The 17,582-nt window shown below is 44.6% G+C and overlaps 1 protein-coding gene across 41 annotated transcripts in view, besides 1 other annotated feature; it reads left to right on the top strand.

The window, feature by feature from the left end:
- NTM (neurotrimin) overlaps nucleotides 1-17,582 on the top strand; it is a 966,208-nt gene that overhangs the window by 526,995 nt on the left and 421,631 nt on the right. For 20 of the 41 annotated variants that reach the window (NR_170352.1, NR_170351.1, NR_170346.1 and 17 more), the window contains one exon: nucleotides 13,955-14,039. The exons of 2 other annotated variants lie outside the window; for them this stretch is intronic. Coding sequence is in view for 18 of the 39 variants with exons in the window: in NM_001352006.2 (NP_001338935.1) it covers nucleotides 13,955-14,039 (85 nt within the window). In the remaining 21 variants the exon portion in view is untranslated. Of the gene's footprint in view, nucleotides 1-12,314; nucleotides 12,378-13,053; nucleotides 13,485-13,726; nucleotides 14,040-17,582 lie in introns of those variants that run through there. 19 more of the 41 variants (NR_170360.1, NR_147851.2, NR_147853.2 and 16 more) reach the window with 3 other exon arrangements.
- Nucleotides 13,566-13,860: an enhancer, noted in NCBI's record as "tiled region #6145; K562 Activating non-DNase unmatched - State 10:DNaseD". NCBI's record gives its function as "activates a minimal TATA promoter and a strong SV40 promoter by Sharpr-MPRA in K562 cells {active_cell/tissue: K562}" and the evidence as "EXISTENCE:reporter gene assay evidence [ECO:0000049][PMID:27701403]".

Raw genomic sequence — 17,582 nt, forward strand, 5'->3', positions numbered from 1 at the left:
CAGAAAACTCGAGTAGAGCAAATATAAAGGTAGAAATAACTTCTGAAAATAGTCAAATTCCAAGTATTCTATTTATCACCTCTTGATGGAACACCTGGGAAACTCTAGGATTCCAAACAAAGACCAATATTCCACAATCCATCCACTTTTTTTGTTTGCTCATACCTCTAAATATTCATCAGTAACATTTGAGACAAAGGAAAGAGATAATTATGAGGGGAGAGTTTTTAAAAGATATTAAAGGTTAACAGAATTCTTGGCATTTGTGTCGTGTCAATTTCCATGTAATTATGCTCAATTCCCAGAATTCAGTGTCAGTTGTGCCTGTTAATGCTTAAAGATGATATCCTTGGAAAATAATTTATAAGATCATTTCTCAAATATTTCGGATTCAAACCAAGCACCCTGGCTAATAGGCTGATTATTATTAATGTTATTCTTGGATGGAGAGTGCTAGGAGGTCGTAAGTGGGATGTTGGGATCAAAGTGGATTTGTTATGAGAGTGTGGTTAGCTATCTCTCCTAAGAGCAGAATGACTGTGCTCGAAATGTTTATATAACCTGATTTACAAACCTCTTCTATTTTTGTTTGATAAATAATAAGAATGTGGGAAAGCACGCCAGTTCTCTGGAATATGACTGCCTTTTAGAAGAAGGAAAGGGAACCAGTGCTGATGTCTGCCTGTGGGGAAGTATGACCAACTGGCTTTGTGGAAAAACATTGAGACGCACAGGCCTAGATATTTTTTACATGTTTATTCATTCGTTCATTAATTCTTCTCCCATTTATCATTGAATGTGTTTTACCTGTTCTTTGCTGAGATCGAGTGATTATAAATAAGACACTCTCCCCTTTTCTGTTCTTTTGAAATTGTGTACATTCCCTTTGTAGTATTGACTCCAATTGTGATTCATTGATTATCTGTGCAATTATTTCTAACATTCATCTCTTCCAGCAGTCTGTAGCCATGGAGGTTGGATACCAAGGATATGACAGTCCCTGATGTAACACGCCACCTACCCTAGGATATGCTTGTTGAATAAATGTGAGAAGGGTGTTCTCATCCCTACTGGGCAATCAAAAATAATCTTTTCAACTAACTTACTCTGATCTTGATTTGGGAGAACATTTTCTAAAGCCAGTCTAATCTTGGCCTACCATGTTTTTCAATCTCTTGGGCTCTGTGCATTTACACATCTGTGTCTTCAGGAAATGAAATTGAAAAATAATCTAGTTTCCCCCACCTTCTGTTGAGGCCAACGCTGTGGAGCACAAAGTCGAGAACTCAGGCTCATGCATGATCTATTGCTTGGGATGATTGCTGTCACCATTCTCTTCCACTAGAGCGAAAAATGAAAAATTCTATGGAAAACAAATTGCTTCCCATCACGCTCTAAAATGTAGGCTGACACGGGGATGCATTGAGGTGGCTAGAAAGAGCTAAGACAGAGTTTAGAGACGTATGTCGTAATCCAGCTCTTCTGGTTGCTAGAAGTCAAACTTTTGGAACGAGGCAGCCAAGTGAAGTGAAGTATGTGTCCAAGGTAAATTCAGAGGCAGTGTACAAAAAACAAGTGAGTGCACAGAGGAGCAGGGGTCCCCAGCCCAGTGAAGAGTGAAAGTTGGAGGTCATACATGGAGGAAACAGCCAAGCATGTGAAGGATTGGAAAGCAAGGCGGGCCAACTAACCCTGCCTAAAGGGAACTGTTCTCCTCCTCAGGGGGCATTTCCACATAAATCATGCACACACTTTTCATAGTATTTTTAAAAATGCCTTTACCAAGTGTACATAAACCTTCTACAAGAAGTTGTAACATAATGTAGGGGTGAGAGAAGGGCGAGATAAGCATAATTGAAGTATCCCCAGCCAGGCAGAAAATGGAATTACTGGGTAGATGGGACCATGACATTAGAAAGGTCACACTGGGTCACATAAATTCAGATGTCCGAGTTACCTGCTTTGGACAGTGGCAATTTTACATGAGTCATACTTCAAAGGTTACAGATATATAGCAGATGCCTCTAACCTAACAAACAGTGTGGGTATATCACACGTTAATTTATTCAAACCTTTTCATATCTTATTTAGAGATTATTTTTGTCTGTATAAGTTTTATTCAGACATACTTGTTTTTATCCTTTAACTACTGTCTTGATTTCTTAAGAGTTTTTTTATTTTATTTTAGCTAGAGTTTGGTCATTAAGTATGTGTTCACTCTATCCTTATACATCGTGAATACCAAATGTCATCATCAATTTCATGTTCCTCGTTTGTAGAGATTTGGAAGTCCCTACAAAACAAATTATTTCAATTTTTGAATTTTCCTCAGCTGTGCTGGTCACTTAAATACAACAAATATTTATCAAAACCAATTATGTTCCAGGCATTGTGTTAGGTTTCAGGAATGTAACAGAGAAAAAGACAGAAATTAGACCATTACATGTATTCTGAGTGTTATGCGAGGCACTGATGCAGAGGGCATGTGCCAAGTCCAGTGGACTAGCACAGTGAGGCCTTCATGAGCCAGTCAGAACCGAGAAGGGTGACGACAACTCAGCCCGAGACCATGGGGACTGCATCCTAGGCAGGAAGTGGAACATGCAAAGTCCCTCAATTGAGAAAGAAGAACCTCTGAGGAATTAGAAGTGTAATACAATAAAACAAAATCTGACATGGCTCCAAAAGGGAAGAAGAAGTAGTTGCTAAAGCTGAAAATACACAGATGCCACGTCCTGAGGGCTCAGAAACCACAGGAAGGATTTGGAGCTTTATTCAAATTGCAGTGTGGAGCCACCAAAGATTTAATCAGGACAGTGACAAGGTCAGATTTCAGGAAATCTTCCTTTCAATGTGGAGATTGAAACAGAGCTGGCAAGAGCAGAAGGAGGACATCCACGTAAGATGAATTTCAGGAATCCAGATAAGAAAATGAGGAGATCTTGGCTTGGGCCAGGCAAGGCAGTGGAGGTTGAGAAAGGTGGATGGATGTAAAATATATTTTGGAGGAAGAACACAGGAAAAAGACTGAGAGAGAGAAAGAGGGAGAGAGAGAGAGAAAGAGAGAGAGAGAGATTGGGTAATGAGGGGCAGTGATAAGAGGGAAGAGATTAAAAGTGACTCGATTTCTGATTTCAGCAGTTGGTTGCATGAAGTTTATTATTTGTGAGCTACAGTGATAACTACTATAAGCAATACTAGGAGAATTTTTATGGAACAATTTTGAGTAAAAATAACATTTCTTTCTCGTTCCTATTTTTTCTAATACCCTTTTTAGTGTTTTCCATAAAAATGTTTGGGCCAACACTTGTTTTTTGGCAAAAATTCCTGATACCTGCAGAAAGCAATCTATAGTATCATGCTCCAATATGTGTTGTAAGGATCATAGCTTGGGAACTGCTAGCCATCACTGATTCCAAGATTACTTTCCTGGGTTGTAAAAGAATAATCAGTAGCAACCATTTGTGGAGTTGGTACTACAGGCCAGGTACTTCACTGGTACTTTACATAAATTATTTCATTTAACCCTCACAGCAAATATAAGAGGTAGGTATTATTCCTTTTTAATAGAAGAGGAAAAGGAGACTCTGAGAGGTGAGAACATTTTCCAAGGTCAAGCTGGTAATTTGTGGAACTTGGACATAAAGTCAAAGCCATTAACTCCAGCATTCATGCCCAATCCCTTCCACATCACTGTCTCTTCATCGACTGCCTAGATGCCAGCAACTTACATGCATACTTTATTTTTTCTAAAGTATCTTCCATTATATTTGGCCACTTTTCCACATATCCAAATAACTTTCTGGATTATTTGCAGCTCATCCATGTGAGCTAAAGTTTTAATTACTTAAGGGAACCTAATGTCTTCTGCAAACTTGGGAGAGTTCTCTATGAATTCCCTTTGACAGATCATTGGTAAAAATATTAAATTTGATTTGTCCTAGCAACTGTCCCTTGGGGAATCTAGTATTAATACTTGGCCATATAGAAACATGTCAATCTACCCTTGATTTATATCTTAGCTTTAAGCAGCTCTCTGCCTTTGAAAAAAAAAAAGATAGTCTTCTCATTACTCACTTTTCTAAAAGGTATCTGTGATCCTGACACCTTGTCAAAACTGTTGTGAAAGCCAGGGTAGATTATTTCATGTGTTGTGGTTTATTCACATGCACGTTGACAACATTTTCCAAATTCTGCCTCCTCCAGGTTCAAAGCTACCTGAACAGCACATAAGTTCATTTTCCTAAGACACTCACAAGTTGCTCCTTCTTTCTCACGACCTGCAGTACCACTGGTAGTTTTGTGCTAAGCTAGTGAAGGAAAGCATACCAAAGCTTTAGGGAAATCATTTCTTTCTGGGAGGTGCTGCCCATGTCAACCCCAGGTTGGGAAAGAAGCACAAGGCTGTGATGCCCCAAGGGCAACCTCAATTACTTTATTTAGAAAGGCCCTGAACTCACGATGGTAATGCATACAGGTGGACCAACAAGGTGAAAGTCACAGAGATTCACAAGCATACAGAAATGCATTTTATTATTTCTTTGTAAGAGTCAATAAGTTTGTCAGAGTCAATAGATACTTTAAATTGAAGTAAAGAATTAAAAAAGGAAGTGGATAGTTTGGGTATTAGTTTAGCTAGAAATACAAAGAAACTTGACTTCTAGGGCAGTACAAATTCAAGCCTTCCACAAACAAACAGTTGAGAGTATGTTTATCTTCTTAAAATGTGTGGGTGCCTTCCCACCACTTCACCTGCTCCTCACTGGTGCTTTGTCCCCTCCCTACTACCATTCCTGTCCCGGGGCCTGCAAAGCAAACAGTGAACATTTACAAATCAAACTTGGTGAACTAAACATTTAGAACCTTAGAGTGAACGATTTTAGTCTCATCCAGTTCCTGCTTCCCCAAGGAAAGTTCAGATTCTGTGCAGCCTTGATGCATTGGTTTAAAGTTAACTCAGTTTGAACACTAACCCCTCTAATTAGGTGTTTGTTTGAAATCCATGTCTCAGTAGTCAACTGATCTGATGAAACTGGTATGGTGTGTCTGTATATGTTTGGTGTGGAAATGTAAATGGGTTACAATCCCAGCAAAATAACATCACAGCAGTTCATCCAGGTCCACATTTCTAATAAAGAATATTGATTGATTTCAGGGATAGCAAATATCAGTTCTACCCAATTACACTCTTGCTGCCCCTTCTAAAGCAGCATGACTCAGGAATTATTTCACGGCACTTAGCCTTTTATATACAACTGCTATTATAAAATGTTCTCTGTGACACATAAAATTATATGTATGTATATGTATCCGTGTGTGTACAGAATATGCTATGAACATATGCCTAAATGGCTTATCTGAGAAACTCAGCAGAGATTGAGATAAAACACAGCAGGATGAGTCTAAACCATGAAGTCCAGAAGAAACAAACACTAACAGAAAGGAGAGAGAATCCAAATAAAAAGAAAAGGTGGGAAGAGGTAGATACAGGAAACACAGAAAAAATCCCTTACTGAAGAGAAGAAAAAAAAAAATAGGGCCGCGGAAAGTTAAAGGACAGACAGTGTGCAACCAGTCCAATAGATCTCTAAAACTCTTCTAACCCGGATATTCCAATAGTCTAGTCATGGAAGGAGTGTGTAAATATTCTCTTTATGGCTGGATGCCTAGCATAGACTGTATCTAGATAGCCATGTCCCAGCTAGGCTTTAGGGGAAGATTCCCAAATGGGCAATTAATTTAGATTTAATAGGACCGTTACTGTAAGTTTAAATAAATGCCAGTTAAATATTAACAGCGTATTTATTGAAGATTAACATTGCTGGTTGCATTGTGGGATTTTCTTTTCCTTAAAGAAACCCTTTATCAGAAGACTTTTAATCATCTTGACTCTTCCGTCGCTTGCCTCAGATCCAGGGCAGCTCATTAATTACTTTGTACAACAGTTTTCAACATTCTGAAGTGGTTACCTAGACGAATGGGAAGAATGGAAGGCCATATAAGAAGGGCTATTTCTGTGCAGGAAGGATTGATGAGTGAATTTGATAAGAGTGTTGAGAAGCATTATAATCCTAGACTATTAGAGTTGGAAATGTCCTGGGAAGCCATCTCATCCAAACTCCTCATTTAGAAGGCAAGAGGAAGAGAGCAGAGCTATTCCAGTGAGCTGGTAAGGGGCAGACTTAGGGCTGGAATTCCAGACCCTGGATCCCAGCCCTTTACTGAGCTGTCACCGTACTCTGAAATTGTTCCTTTAATTCTGCAAAAGTGCATTAACCCATTTGAGTGAATTAGTCATTAGACCTTCTCAGTGACACACAGATCATGAAGATTTTTTTTTGTTTTTTGACAAACAAAGGAGCTAAAAATTCAAACACAAGCAGTGACTTATCTAAGGTGACAAAATGATGGGCTGAGTTGAAACTAGAACTCAGGTCTTCTGGTTTACAAAATATATTTGCACAAATGTCACCTCCAATACAAAGTACAGTTGGACCCATATGTTATTATGCAAATTCTTATGTCATTAAAATTTATTTTGTCTGCTGTTGTTTTTGGATGGGGAACAAGGAATAAAACCTCTAAAGAAAATGAGGGGAAAAGATCAAACAGAGACAAAAGTTCTAGGTGATTGTTTAGGGAGAATGGAGCACAGGGGTAGAAGTAATCCAAGTTCCTCTGAGAGTTTAAAACCCCAAGTTAAAACCTGGGGTTTTAAACTCCAAATTTGTACTTGATAAAATTGCCATTCCTAGGGCTCTTTCTGTTTGAGAAGGCACTTCCCTACTCTGGCTGGGCTCAGAAACATTAGAACTGGTGTATGTGTGTGCCTGTAGATGAATGTCTCCAGGTGACTCTTTCACAGAGGTTACAAGGCCAATCCCTGAATGTAGAAATTAGGAGAGATGAGGCAGGCCCAAGATGTTCTTATCCAGTGATTTGTTTAAGATGGAGACCTGAGCGTGTTGGGCCTTGCATGGTCGAAGAAGCTTTGGATTCAGCCATCAGGCACCTTGGAGCAATGAAGGGCTTAAAGGCTTATGGTAGGAGGTCAGACATTGTGGCTCACTTTACAATGGGATGGAGGTGTCCTGTCTTTTTGTCAGGTGGATTGGCTACTTTTCTGTTGTACTTTCAAAGTTTCCCAGGCTGGTACTGAAAGAGAAAGCTGCCTCCTCTTTTGCAAGCACAGGCTGTTTCCCACAGGCCTAGAGAACAGAGGCCTGACAGTGGGGTGGGAGCTGGGGGGCCACGGCTCTTCCTGCTGTGGGTGGTCTAGAGGCTGTGCTACTTCCTCTCTGACTACATCTCAGCATGACGTTCCTGCTCTGTCCGCCTTATGCTGTGAACTCTAAGAGCATTCCCAGGGCCTGCACTCAGCAGTCTGCTCCTGGGTTCTCTGCATGAATGTTACCTGTAGGCTGACTCAGAATGAAGGAAGCACAGCCAATGGCAGCTCCTTCCAGTCCCAGCATGAGAAGCCTGGGAGCAGCCAGGCCTGTGCTAAACTCTTTGCAGCTACTCCCTCATCTCATCCTCACAGCAGTACTGAGCAGTAGGTACCATGAGGACCACTATTTTACAGATTAGATTAGGGCATGTCCCCAAGGTCCCACAGCTAGTAATGGAGAGGGTGAATATTTGACTTCTGGTCTGAGTCTAAAACCCAAGGTCACGGTCCTTCTTATTGGATAAATATGTACTGAATGAATCCATGACTGCATGAACACACAATGTCGATGGCATTAGAGGTTTTCAGTGAGACACAGAGCACTCCCGAGGTGCCCATCCTTAGTTTGTATGAGCACCGTCTGAGGCTGTCAAAGAAGTTTCTGCTCATGCTCCTTTCCGTCTTGGGTCGTGTAGCGTCTGTGCTGTCTTCTGCCATCCACGAGATTCCTGCCCATGCTTGCCCATCCCTTCATCTCCAGCTCACTTTTAAGTCCAGTTTAATGTCACTTCCTTAGGGAAGTTTCCTGATCTTCCAGGCACGATGAGAATCTCCCATCCTGTCTTTTCCATTTTTTTTTTCTCACAGCATTCATCACAGTTGTATCCACTATTTCATAAAATTCTTTGTTAAATGTCTGTCTCCCCTGCTGGAAGTGCACTTCATGCAGGGGAGGCCCACGTTACTTTTGCCTATGTCTCTCCCATTCATTGCTTTCCCTGGCCCTGTTGAGTTGATGAAGGGCTTCCCAATATTCAGAAGTCCTTCAGAGCACCCCACCCCTCCTAATACCCCTTCCAGTGAAGCTAGAGAACCAAGATTGTGCCTGGGAATCTGGATAAGTGTAATGAGACAAATCACTTCCCACAGGCTAGGCAGACCTCAGCTTTTTTGTCTCAGCAATGAGAAAGTTCTCAAGGGCCTATAGGGGAGTGCAGGGTGGAGTTCATTTAATTTTCATGAACGTTAATGGAAATAAAACCACTGACAAACCCAATAGCACTAGACGACACGCAACTCAAGGGCAGGGGCATGTCTTTATTTTTGTTCCTCTCAACACAGTTCCTGGTACACACAAGGAACTCAAAATCTGCTTGCTGGTTGATTAACTAATTTGAGTTCAACCAAATAATGTGACACCCAAAGTGATTCTGGGCAATCATGGTAACCTGTCCTCTGGGGGTCTCTCTCTCGGCCACAGATGATGCAGCAGCAGGAGTTACTGAGTGGTCAGCTCTTAAATATTGTTCTTATCTGACAGGTAGAGTAGAAAGAACCCTGCTGTAGGAGTCAGGAGTTCTGACTTCTAGTCTGGATTGGCCAGTTTATAAACTTTATGCTCCTACGATCAACTCCTCCTCCTTCCTGGGGCTCAATCCTTCACTTAAGAAATGAATGGATTATACTAAAGATCTTCCAAGGTCCCTTCTGAATGTATCATTCTGTGATGTTACGAGTCCAGGGTCTTATTATGACCCAAAACTTAGATAAAAAGGAAAGACTCTGCCCCAAAGACCCCTGGCTCTCAGGCTGTCCCCTTTGGGCACCTGCCTTTCGCTGCGTCGGCACTTTGATTTTGGCTTGTTCATCCTGCTCCCCCTGACTTTTCTGTCTACCTCCGATTGTTCTATCCACCATCGCTCTGCTTTATGCATCTCTTATAAAGTTTTATGGGTTTAAAGTCCATAGATAGCCTCACCTTTGCCATTCCTTCATATCCTCCTTCTCAGTTCTCTCTATTTGTGACCTCTTTTCTCTCCCTGGAGCCCTCTTCCCCTTTTCAAGTTGCACCTTTGCTCTTTCTGCTGAAATCCTAACATGTTGGACTATAGCCCAGATGAACCACGATTTTATTTTGATCCTGTATTCATAGAGGAGCAAAAAATAGCATATATTTTTCCAGTTCCCAGCCCTTCCCTACTGCCCTAGAGGCATCTCTTTATCCAGATTTACACATCCTTTTCTGATTAAATCTTCCAATATCTATTTGATGTCACACCACTCTCTAATGGCCCTGCATTTCCCATCTTCTCGCCTGCACTCCTATGTGAGATCTCCACCAGGAGAGGGGAGCCTTTAGCCTTTTTCGACGAGGAGAAGCAGAGCTGGCATTTGTTAAGCTAGTGCTCCTCTTTTCGTCTCTTGTGTGTGTGGAATAGTGATAGCTCTTTAGCTGGCCCCAGCTTGCTCTGGGTAACATGGAGTAAAACAAAAACAACAGCTAATTTCTCTTTCATTGGGAGTTCTTCTCTGTTCCAGCCCTGCTTCAGTGTACAGATGCCAGGGTTGCCTGAAGTCTCCATCTACTGCTTCCTCACCTGCCTGCCAACCATCCAGAGTACACATGGCAGGCTCTTCTCTCCTCCCTCCTTTGCAGTCCCAGGATTATTAAAGGGAATATGATTGTTTCCTTTTGCTCAGGGAGTGTGTATGTGTGTACATGTTTGTGAGCTTGAAAGGCATTGTCCTATAGATATTTTTTATAACCTGAAGCAATTACAGCTGTCAGCACAGAGACAAGCTGTGACAAGTTGATTTATGTGTACAGTATATGTGTATGCACGAAGGAAGGGAAGAAGGAGACGGAGATGGTGGGAAAGAGGGTGGAGGTGGGCGCTCGTTAGGAATCGGCTTTCAAGGAGGCAGAAAGGAAGTTGTTTCTATAAAGAACACAAATAATGAAATTGCTTTGAATGTCATCCCTTTTCATTAACTCGGATATGCTGGGAAAAATAAAATAAATCCAGCAGTTTTTATGAAGCAGGAGACAGGATATAAGATAAGCCACTAAGTGTTGGTCATATTTAGGGATTAAGGGCTGGGAAGTGAGTTGACATATGATTTTGATCTTCATCTTTTCAAACCACTTCAATAGCCGGTTTGAATAAAATGGATTTTGTCTTGTTAATTATGTGGGCATCTCTGACCTTTCACCACTTTCTAAACTTCTATGTTTGAATAAAGTTTGGATCCCTGCGCCCACGAAGCAGGTATGAGGTTGCAAGTGCCTTTTCTTTGCCCTCCCTGTGAGTTACCTGAGCTTGGCTGGGTTTTCTGCTGCAACTGCTGGATTGCTAAGCTTAGTGCTTTCCCTTCACGGGCAGAGACAAAGATGGTTTGATTGTCTTAGATCAACTGCATGCAGACTGGTAGAAACCAAACATCTCAAAGAGCCTGTAAGAAGAATTATTTTCTTGCCCAGACATACTAATGAAGCAATGGCAGGCAAATGTATTAATAAAGCATCTTCCATCTTAAATGGATTTCTAAGTATTTTCCTGTAGAGTTAATCATATATGTAGGCCCCTCGGGAAAGCCTGTTGTTGTCATTATCCATATCCCTAGATGCAAAAACTAATGCTCCTTTGTACCTACCTGAAAATTAGATGCAAGAGCCAGGATTAGCATTTATCATGAATCATCCCTGCCATTCTCAGGCCTCTAGGGAAATGACTGCAAAGCTCAGAATGAGCCCCTCTCCTTTCCCCATGACTAGCATTTGTTTCCACTTGTTGTAGTGAGGATGTGTTTAAGAAGAGGGGTTGAGAGGGAGGAGCATAAGGGATGGTTGAAATGAATGGATGAATTATTAGAGGTGACCCCTTGACTTGTGGAGACGAAGCCCAAATTCAGCAGACTGAAAGTCAGCAAACATATCTCACAGCTTTAGTATATCATCATATTTATCTTAACGTGGTGAAGTTTTTCAATTTCCTGTTTCCACAATTGCCCGTTGGAAAATGGAGACACAATAGAATCTTCCAAGAATGGACTAGTGCTAAAGTAGGTTAATTTTCCTCCTTTCCTTTCAAAAATACAAACAAAGATCTTCTGCTCCCCGCAGATGTAATTGTTTATTCCTGATAGTAAAGTCATTTGTTGCAGCCATAAGTTGACGATTGATAGTTTTGGTGTTATATATCAAATGATCCCCAGTGGCCAAAAGTAGCAGATGAGTTTCCCTGAGAATTTAATATCAGAAAAGTCACCGGAGGAGAGGAGGGAACAATTGGCCCAATGATGAGTTAATGCAAAGTATTTTGAGATATTCACTGTAAAGTCGCTTCACTCTTGCTGGCTAAGCACGTCCTAGTCAACTATGACAATGGAAAGGCAAGCCGTCTTAGTCTTTCTTTGTTACCCAGGAGTGTGGTTTCCACTTCTCCAAAGCCTACTTCTGTCCTATCTCTATAGTTAGTGTGAGGGAGATTTGATTGGTGAAATGTTTGTGTCCTCTCCAACGTGGTATCTACATGTAAGTGATTGGTACTGCTCGAAGGTTGCCAGAATGAGTATTGTACCGAAGCCCTTATGGTTATATGACTCAGTTATAATGGTTCAGTCTCTTTGATACCGGATGGCTTTTTGGAAGACCATTTTTCTGTTATTTAACAGTTGTTAACAACAACAACAACAAAAAGCTTCCTGGTTGTGTTTGATAGAGTCTAGGGGAAAAACAAAGCCACTGTTGCCTCCTCTCCATCCCCAAGGAGAATGTGGGTCAGGGCTGGAGGCCGGCTCTGGGAATCCCTGAGAAGGGAGCATTATTAATGTCACCACCACTGTGCCTGCTGAGCTGCTCTGTGCTTCCCCCTTGCACAAGAACCAGGCCCAGCCAGGGAAAGGAAACGCAGGCCATTCCCTCAGAGCCGAAGTTAAGGGAGAAATAATAATACAGGCACAGGAGGACCAGCAGCAGCCAGAGAGGAGAAGTGACAGGGACCGAGGCAAATCCAGTCTCTCCCCGGGTTTCAAGAATTTGAGAAACACACCTCTTAAAGATGAAATCAGCTGTGCGAGAGTGTGAGGCCCAGGAAACCTGGGAGTCTGCTGTATAAATACAGCAAGTGGCTCACACTCATCCACCCAAGTGAGCACTTTTGCAGGCCCAGCATCTTTTAATGGCGACAAAACAAGAATAAAGAATGTAAGTGGGTGTCTGAACTTGACCAACATTTTGATGATGCGATTTTTCCAGTTTCGCACACTAAGAGGCTTCTGTGATTTTGGATTTGTTTTATATATGGCAGATCTCTAGAATGGTAGTGTTGAGTCTCTGGGGTTTTGAGCAGCTTTGTGGGGGGCTGCTGGGCGGGTGCTGTACTACTGAATAACTATGAGGTTCTTCTAAAACATCCTCCGAACACTCTGAGTTTACTCTGAATGCTAATGGGATTAATCTGATCATTTTAAAGGTGCATGTATGCATGCTGCAGGGTGTTCCTTTCCCAGTTAATTAGTTTGTGACCCTTATTAAGATGTCTCAAGTCTGAGGCTGATTAAGGCTGCATGGTAACTTTGTCTTTTTTCCTAATTTGGAAGCGCGTAAATGGTTAAACTCCTGGCCTGGGCTGGGCTGGTGCACAGCCTGGGCCCGGCGCGGCGGGGGTTAAGGTGGGCGCCCGCGCCCCGCGCCCCGCGCCCTCCCGCCGGGATGAGAGCGCAGTCCGCGCCGCCAGCCCGCCCGCTCGCTCCGAGGCGGCACCGGGAGAAAGTGGCGGTCAGGGATGGAGCTGCTGCCATGACAACCCCGGCGGTCGGGGCCCGCGCGCGTCGGGGCTGCTCCCGGGAGGAAGGCGGCGCGGAGGCCGGGGGCGGCCGCTGAGCTTGGCGTCCGCGCGGCTCCGGTGCGGGCTGCGCCGCGCCTTCCCCAGCGAGCTACCGAGCTTGGGGCCGCCGCGGTCCGCTCCCGCCGCCCGGCCTCTCCCTCCTCGGCCACCGCCGCAGCCCCTGCCCCGCCGAGCCCCGCCGGACAGCGGCGGCCGCAGCGCGCATTTGGGCTCCGAGGAAGTTGACCGAGGCGGCTGCCGCAGGATCCCGGGCCCGGATCGCACGAAGCCCGCGCGGCCGTCTCCTCCGCGCGCCACCCCTGCGCCTCCCGCGAGCTCCACTTCCCATCTGCTATTGTTTCCGATTGTTTTCCGGTGGCGAGCCCGGCTCCGAAACTTACAAAGTGTTGGATGTCCCCCGTTCGAACTGAGGGACTGCAGACCGCCTCTGGGTAGCTGGATGAAGCCCACCCCGTCCCCTTCTGGTACCAAAGTGCTTACTCCTCTCCAAAGTGCCGTGTCTGAACTGCCGCTGGGAAGAAGCGGCTCCTGAGACGCGCCCACACCTTTCACCTGCCGCGCGCTTCCCCCTCCTCGGCCACCTTCCCGGCGGAAGCAGCGAGGAGGGAGCCCCCTTTGGCCGTCCTCCGTGGAACCGGTTTTCCGAGGCTGGCAAAAGCCGAGGCTGGATTTGGGGGAGGAATATTAGACTCGGAGGAGTCTGCGCGCTTTTCTCCTCCCCGCGCCTCCCGGTCGCCGCGGGTTCACCGCTCAGTCCCCGCGCTCGCTCCGCACCCCACCCACTTCCTGTGCTCGCCCGGGGGGCGTGTGCCGTGCGGCTGCCGGAGTTCGGGGAAGTTGTGGCTGTCGAGAATGGGGGTCTGTGGGTACCTGTTCCTGCCCTGGAAGTGCCTCGTGGTCGTGTCTCTCAGGCTGCTGTTCCTTGTACCCACAGGAGTGCCCGTGCGCAGCGGAGATGCCACCTTCCCCAAAGCTATGGACAACGTGACGGTCCGGCAGGGGGAGAGCGCCACCCTCAGGTAGGGAGCTGACATTGTTCTGCGAACTGATGGTTTGTATGGGGTCGGGGTAAGGGGCAGGGGTGCAGGTGTGTGCACTGAGGCGTGCCTGGGTTGGCGGAGAGGTCGCTGGTTCCCTGGGCTGCACAATTTATGGCTGCGCTGGGGGCTCTGCCCGGGAATGTGGCAGTCGTAGGGAAAGGCTCAGAGGTTCTGGCGGTGAGCTTTTTCCCAAAAACTGGCCTCTGCGGCTCAGGCACTTGTTAAAGGTGAGGGGTGGCTGGACCAGGTGGTCGCCGAGATTGAGGGACTTGTGCCTGGCACTGTCTGTGCCTGAGCCTGGTGGCCGTGGTGACAGGGGGCTTGGAGGGGCTCCCCGCGAGCAGTCTTCTCTGAAGTTAATGAGCCCCAAAGGAGGGGTCTGGCTTGGAGTGAATGCCCCCACTCGCCCATGCCATAGGGCTTTGCCAGCCCTGGCTCCTGCACTCTGGGAGAGCCGCTGCTTTGTCCTGGGCCTGACTGTGCCCGGGCTTTCCTGGGGTGCCTTCATGCCGTGAGCTGGTGGGCAGACAGAGATGCTTTCTCCTGTCTGAACGTGGCTTTCTGAGGCCCAAGTCATGGAGTCTGATTTGTCCGTGGAAAATGGCATTTACTGTAGTGAACTGTGTTCTGTTCCTGCTCTCCACCAAAACGGTACATGCAAAACTCGTCTACTGAAGAGAAACTAGGTTTCAGTGTTGGGTTGGGTCCTGATTGGCTTCTGGGGTTAAGGCTTACAGGCACTGGGGGAGGAGAAGAAGAAGAATCTTGGTTATGCTTTGTGTAAGGTAGAATGATTCTATCTCCCTGATTACCTTGCCTGCAGAAACGCTAACTGAATTTCCAGTGTTGATAAACCACACCTCTCATATGCGGGCAAAACACTTAATGATTGCGATGGGAAATTTTATTCTCTGGGATTTTATAAGAGAATAAGCATGAGGTGGACGTTAAGAAGGTTCATGGGAACGATTTCCCTGCCTCTCCTTGGTTTAGTCTGCCCTCCTAAATAAAGTTTTCCAAACTAAGCGACAGAACTAACCACAAGGCAACATGGCAATATTCCTGTCCTTTGCACATGAAGATTTCTGGAAAGATAACCCTGGTGCTGGTGTCTACTGTTTTGCCCCTCTGATGACTTCTTCTAGGATTGGGTTGTTTTGGACTGTATACTTAAGGCAATATCTATAGGATAGAAAATGGTGAAGAGGAGGCAATGTCAATACAGAGCTGAGTTATCAGGACATTGCCAAAGGAAGTGTGTAATTTAGGGACCCGTGCAGGGCTACAAGCATCCAGTGATCCTTTGTCTAGGCAAAGCTTAACCTCATGGCTCTGGTGAACTCCTAGTTATTTGTTGGCTCACGAGACCCACCTCTTCCACTCTTCTGAGCAAAAATAAAGCAACTTCCTTCCCCCACTCAGAAATGATTGTGTATCTGCTTTAAAAATGGATTTCAGGGGAGTTACAAATATGCAGTGATTTCAGACTACTTAAATAAAAAACCAAAAATAAATGTCTAGAGCAGTAATAATCAAGGAAATTTTCTTGTTCAAGAAATGCTTGTTCTCTGGATGCCCTCTTTGTCCCTAGTCCTTGGCTGCAAGGAGGGCCTCCCAGGGACAGAGACATTCTGAATGGGGAACATTTTAGATATAAATGGGATTTTTTTTTTCAAGGAAAAGGTGTAAGGTAGCTCTGTAGAGACTTGAAGATAAATAAACAGGAAGTGGGTCCTGGCAGACAGAGACCAGGCCAGAATCTGGTCTCCAGAAGGTAGTCTTCAAGGCTTATCAAAGTCAGGACTGTCCAGAGGGTGGCTGCATTCAGCAGAGGCTGAATCACGGGACAGGCCTGATTTAGGAGGAGCTTCTTTTTGAAATCGCGTTATCATGTACTGGCTGACTTATCTTTCTTTGTCTTCCCTTTCATGGTTCTTTTTTCTCATTCTGCCGGTCCCCCTCTCTCTTTCAGCACTAATGTTTGTTTGCATTTTCACATGTGTTCTCAACCCAGTGGTATTGTTTGGGTGTGGATGGAGATGGGAACATGGTGGAGCTTCCTTTCTAGACCCTTGAATTGACCCCAACCCAGCCAAGTTCCTTCTGGAACATCTCCTGCCATTCTGTGCCAGCCTCAGGGGCTGAATGTCTTCCTGACACTCAAGAGAAAGGCCCTGACAGTGGATGGAGCACTACAGGGCAGGGATTAGATGAGCTAGGGTCTGAGCGACACCAGCCCTTGACCACAGGCCTGACTTAGGATGTGAATCAGGCACCAGGTGTAACAAGCAACCAGTATGGAGGATGCTCAGGCCTCTCAGGATTGCCCTCCTTCTCAGACTCTGATGCGCTAGAACAAGGAAGGGCTGCCCTGCTGGGATGGACTTTGGTGGGGTGGAAGCCCCTGAACTCTCAAACATAGGTCCTGCATTTTCTTGTTCTGTGTACAGAGAGGCAAGTAGGAATTTCAGAACGTATTTTGTTTGCATAAAAATTGCTGCATTTTCACGTAACCTGACTGTAGGTTGCAACCATCTAGTAGTTCAGAGTTCTGAGTTATTTTCTTTTTGCTTTGTATTGTGTGTGTGTAGGGGGACAGAGGACCCTTCCTTCCTTCCTTCCATCTATCTTTCTTTCTTCTTCCGTTTGTTTTTTTCTGTTTTGACTAATCATATAACCAAGCTGTAAGGAACCACAACTAGGGGAGACCAGAGCACCCGTGCTCTGGCCTGGAGGGCCGCCATATCCATCTTCCTATGGGTGATTGGGTGATGATGGTGATACATGTAGTTTTCTTCATAACCAGCAGAGGACTTTTTGCTCTAATTTCATTTTATTCTGCTTTGTTCTCACCAACATCATATTTTGAGGATCTTTTGCAGTCCCTAAAGAATAAATGCTCAGCAGAAGATTCTAATTTGAGGAAACTTTAAAAAATGTTTTATCTTATCCAAGTAGCTCTAACAATCCTTGTGGAGGTATTGGGAAATGTTTCAATTAGCATAGCACTGACAGCCTGAAAAGAATTACAATTTGCAGTCTCCCACTCTTTCTGCCCTCCCGCTGGCATTCTGTAGGCATATTTCTTAAAAGGGTGAGGTAAAACAGAATCTGCATTAATAATACTATTAGCCAATGTTAATTGAGTGCTCACTATGTGTTGGGGAGTATCTAAGTGTTTTAATAATATCTCACCTATCATTCAGCCTCATGACATTAACACTTTAATAACAGCCCTATGGTGTAGGAGTTACTATTATCCCTATTTTACAGACGAGGAAACTGAGGTGTGGAGAGTTTACATGCTTTGATGAAGGTGGCACAGCTAGGAAGCTTTGAAGCCAGGCTATGAAGCACTGGTAACAATCACGTTAATAAGATACATAGTACTATCATTGGTCTGTTACTGTGTGAACATTTTATGTAAACAGTAACATTTACTCCTCACACCTCTCTGAAATAGACAATTATTCCCGGTTAAGGCCTAGAGAGGGGGAACTTACCTGAAATCACATAAGCAGC

The sequence above is a fragment of the Homo sapiens genome, chromosome 11 (genome assembly GCF_000001405.40).
Source record: "Homo sapiens chromosome 11, GRCh38.p14 Primary Assembly".
NCBI lineage: Eukaryota > Metazoa > Chordata > Mammalia > Primates > Hominidae > Homo > Homo sapiens.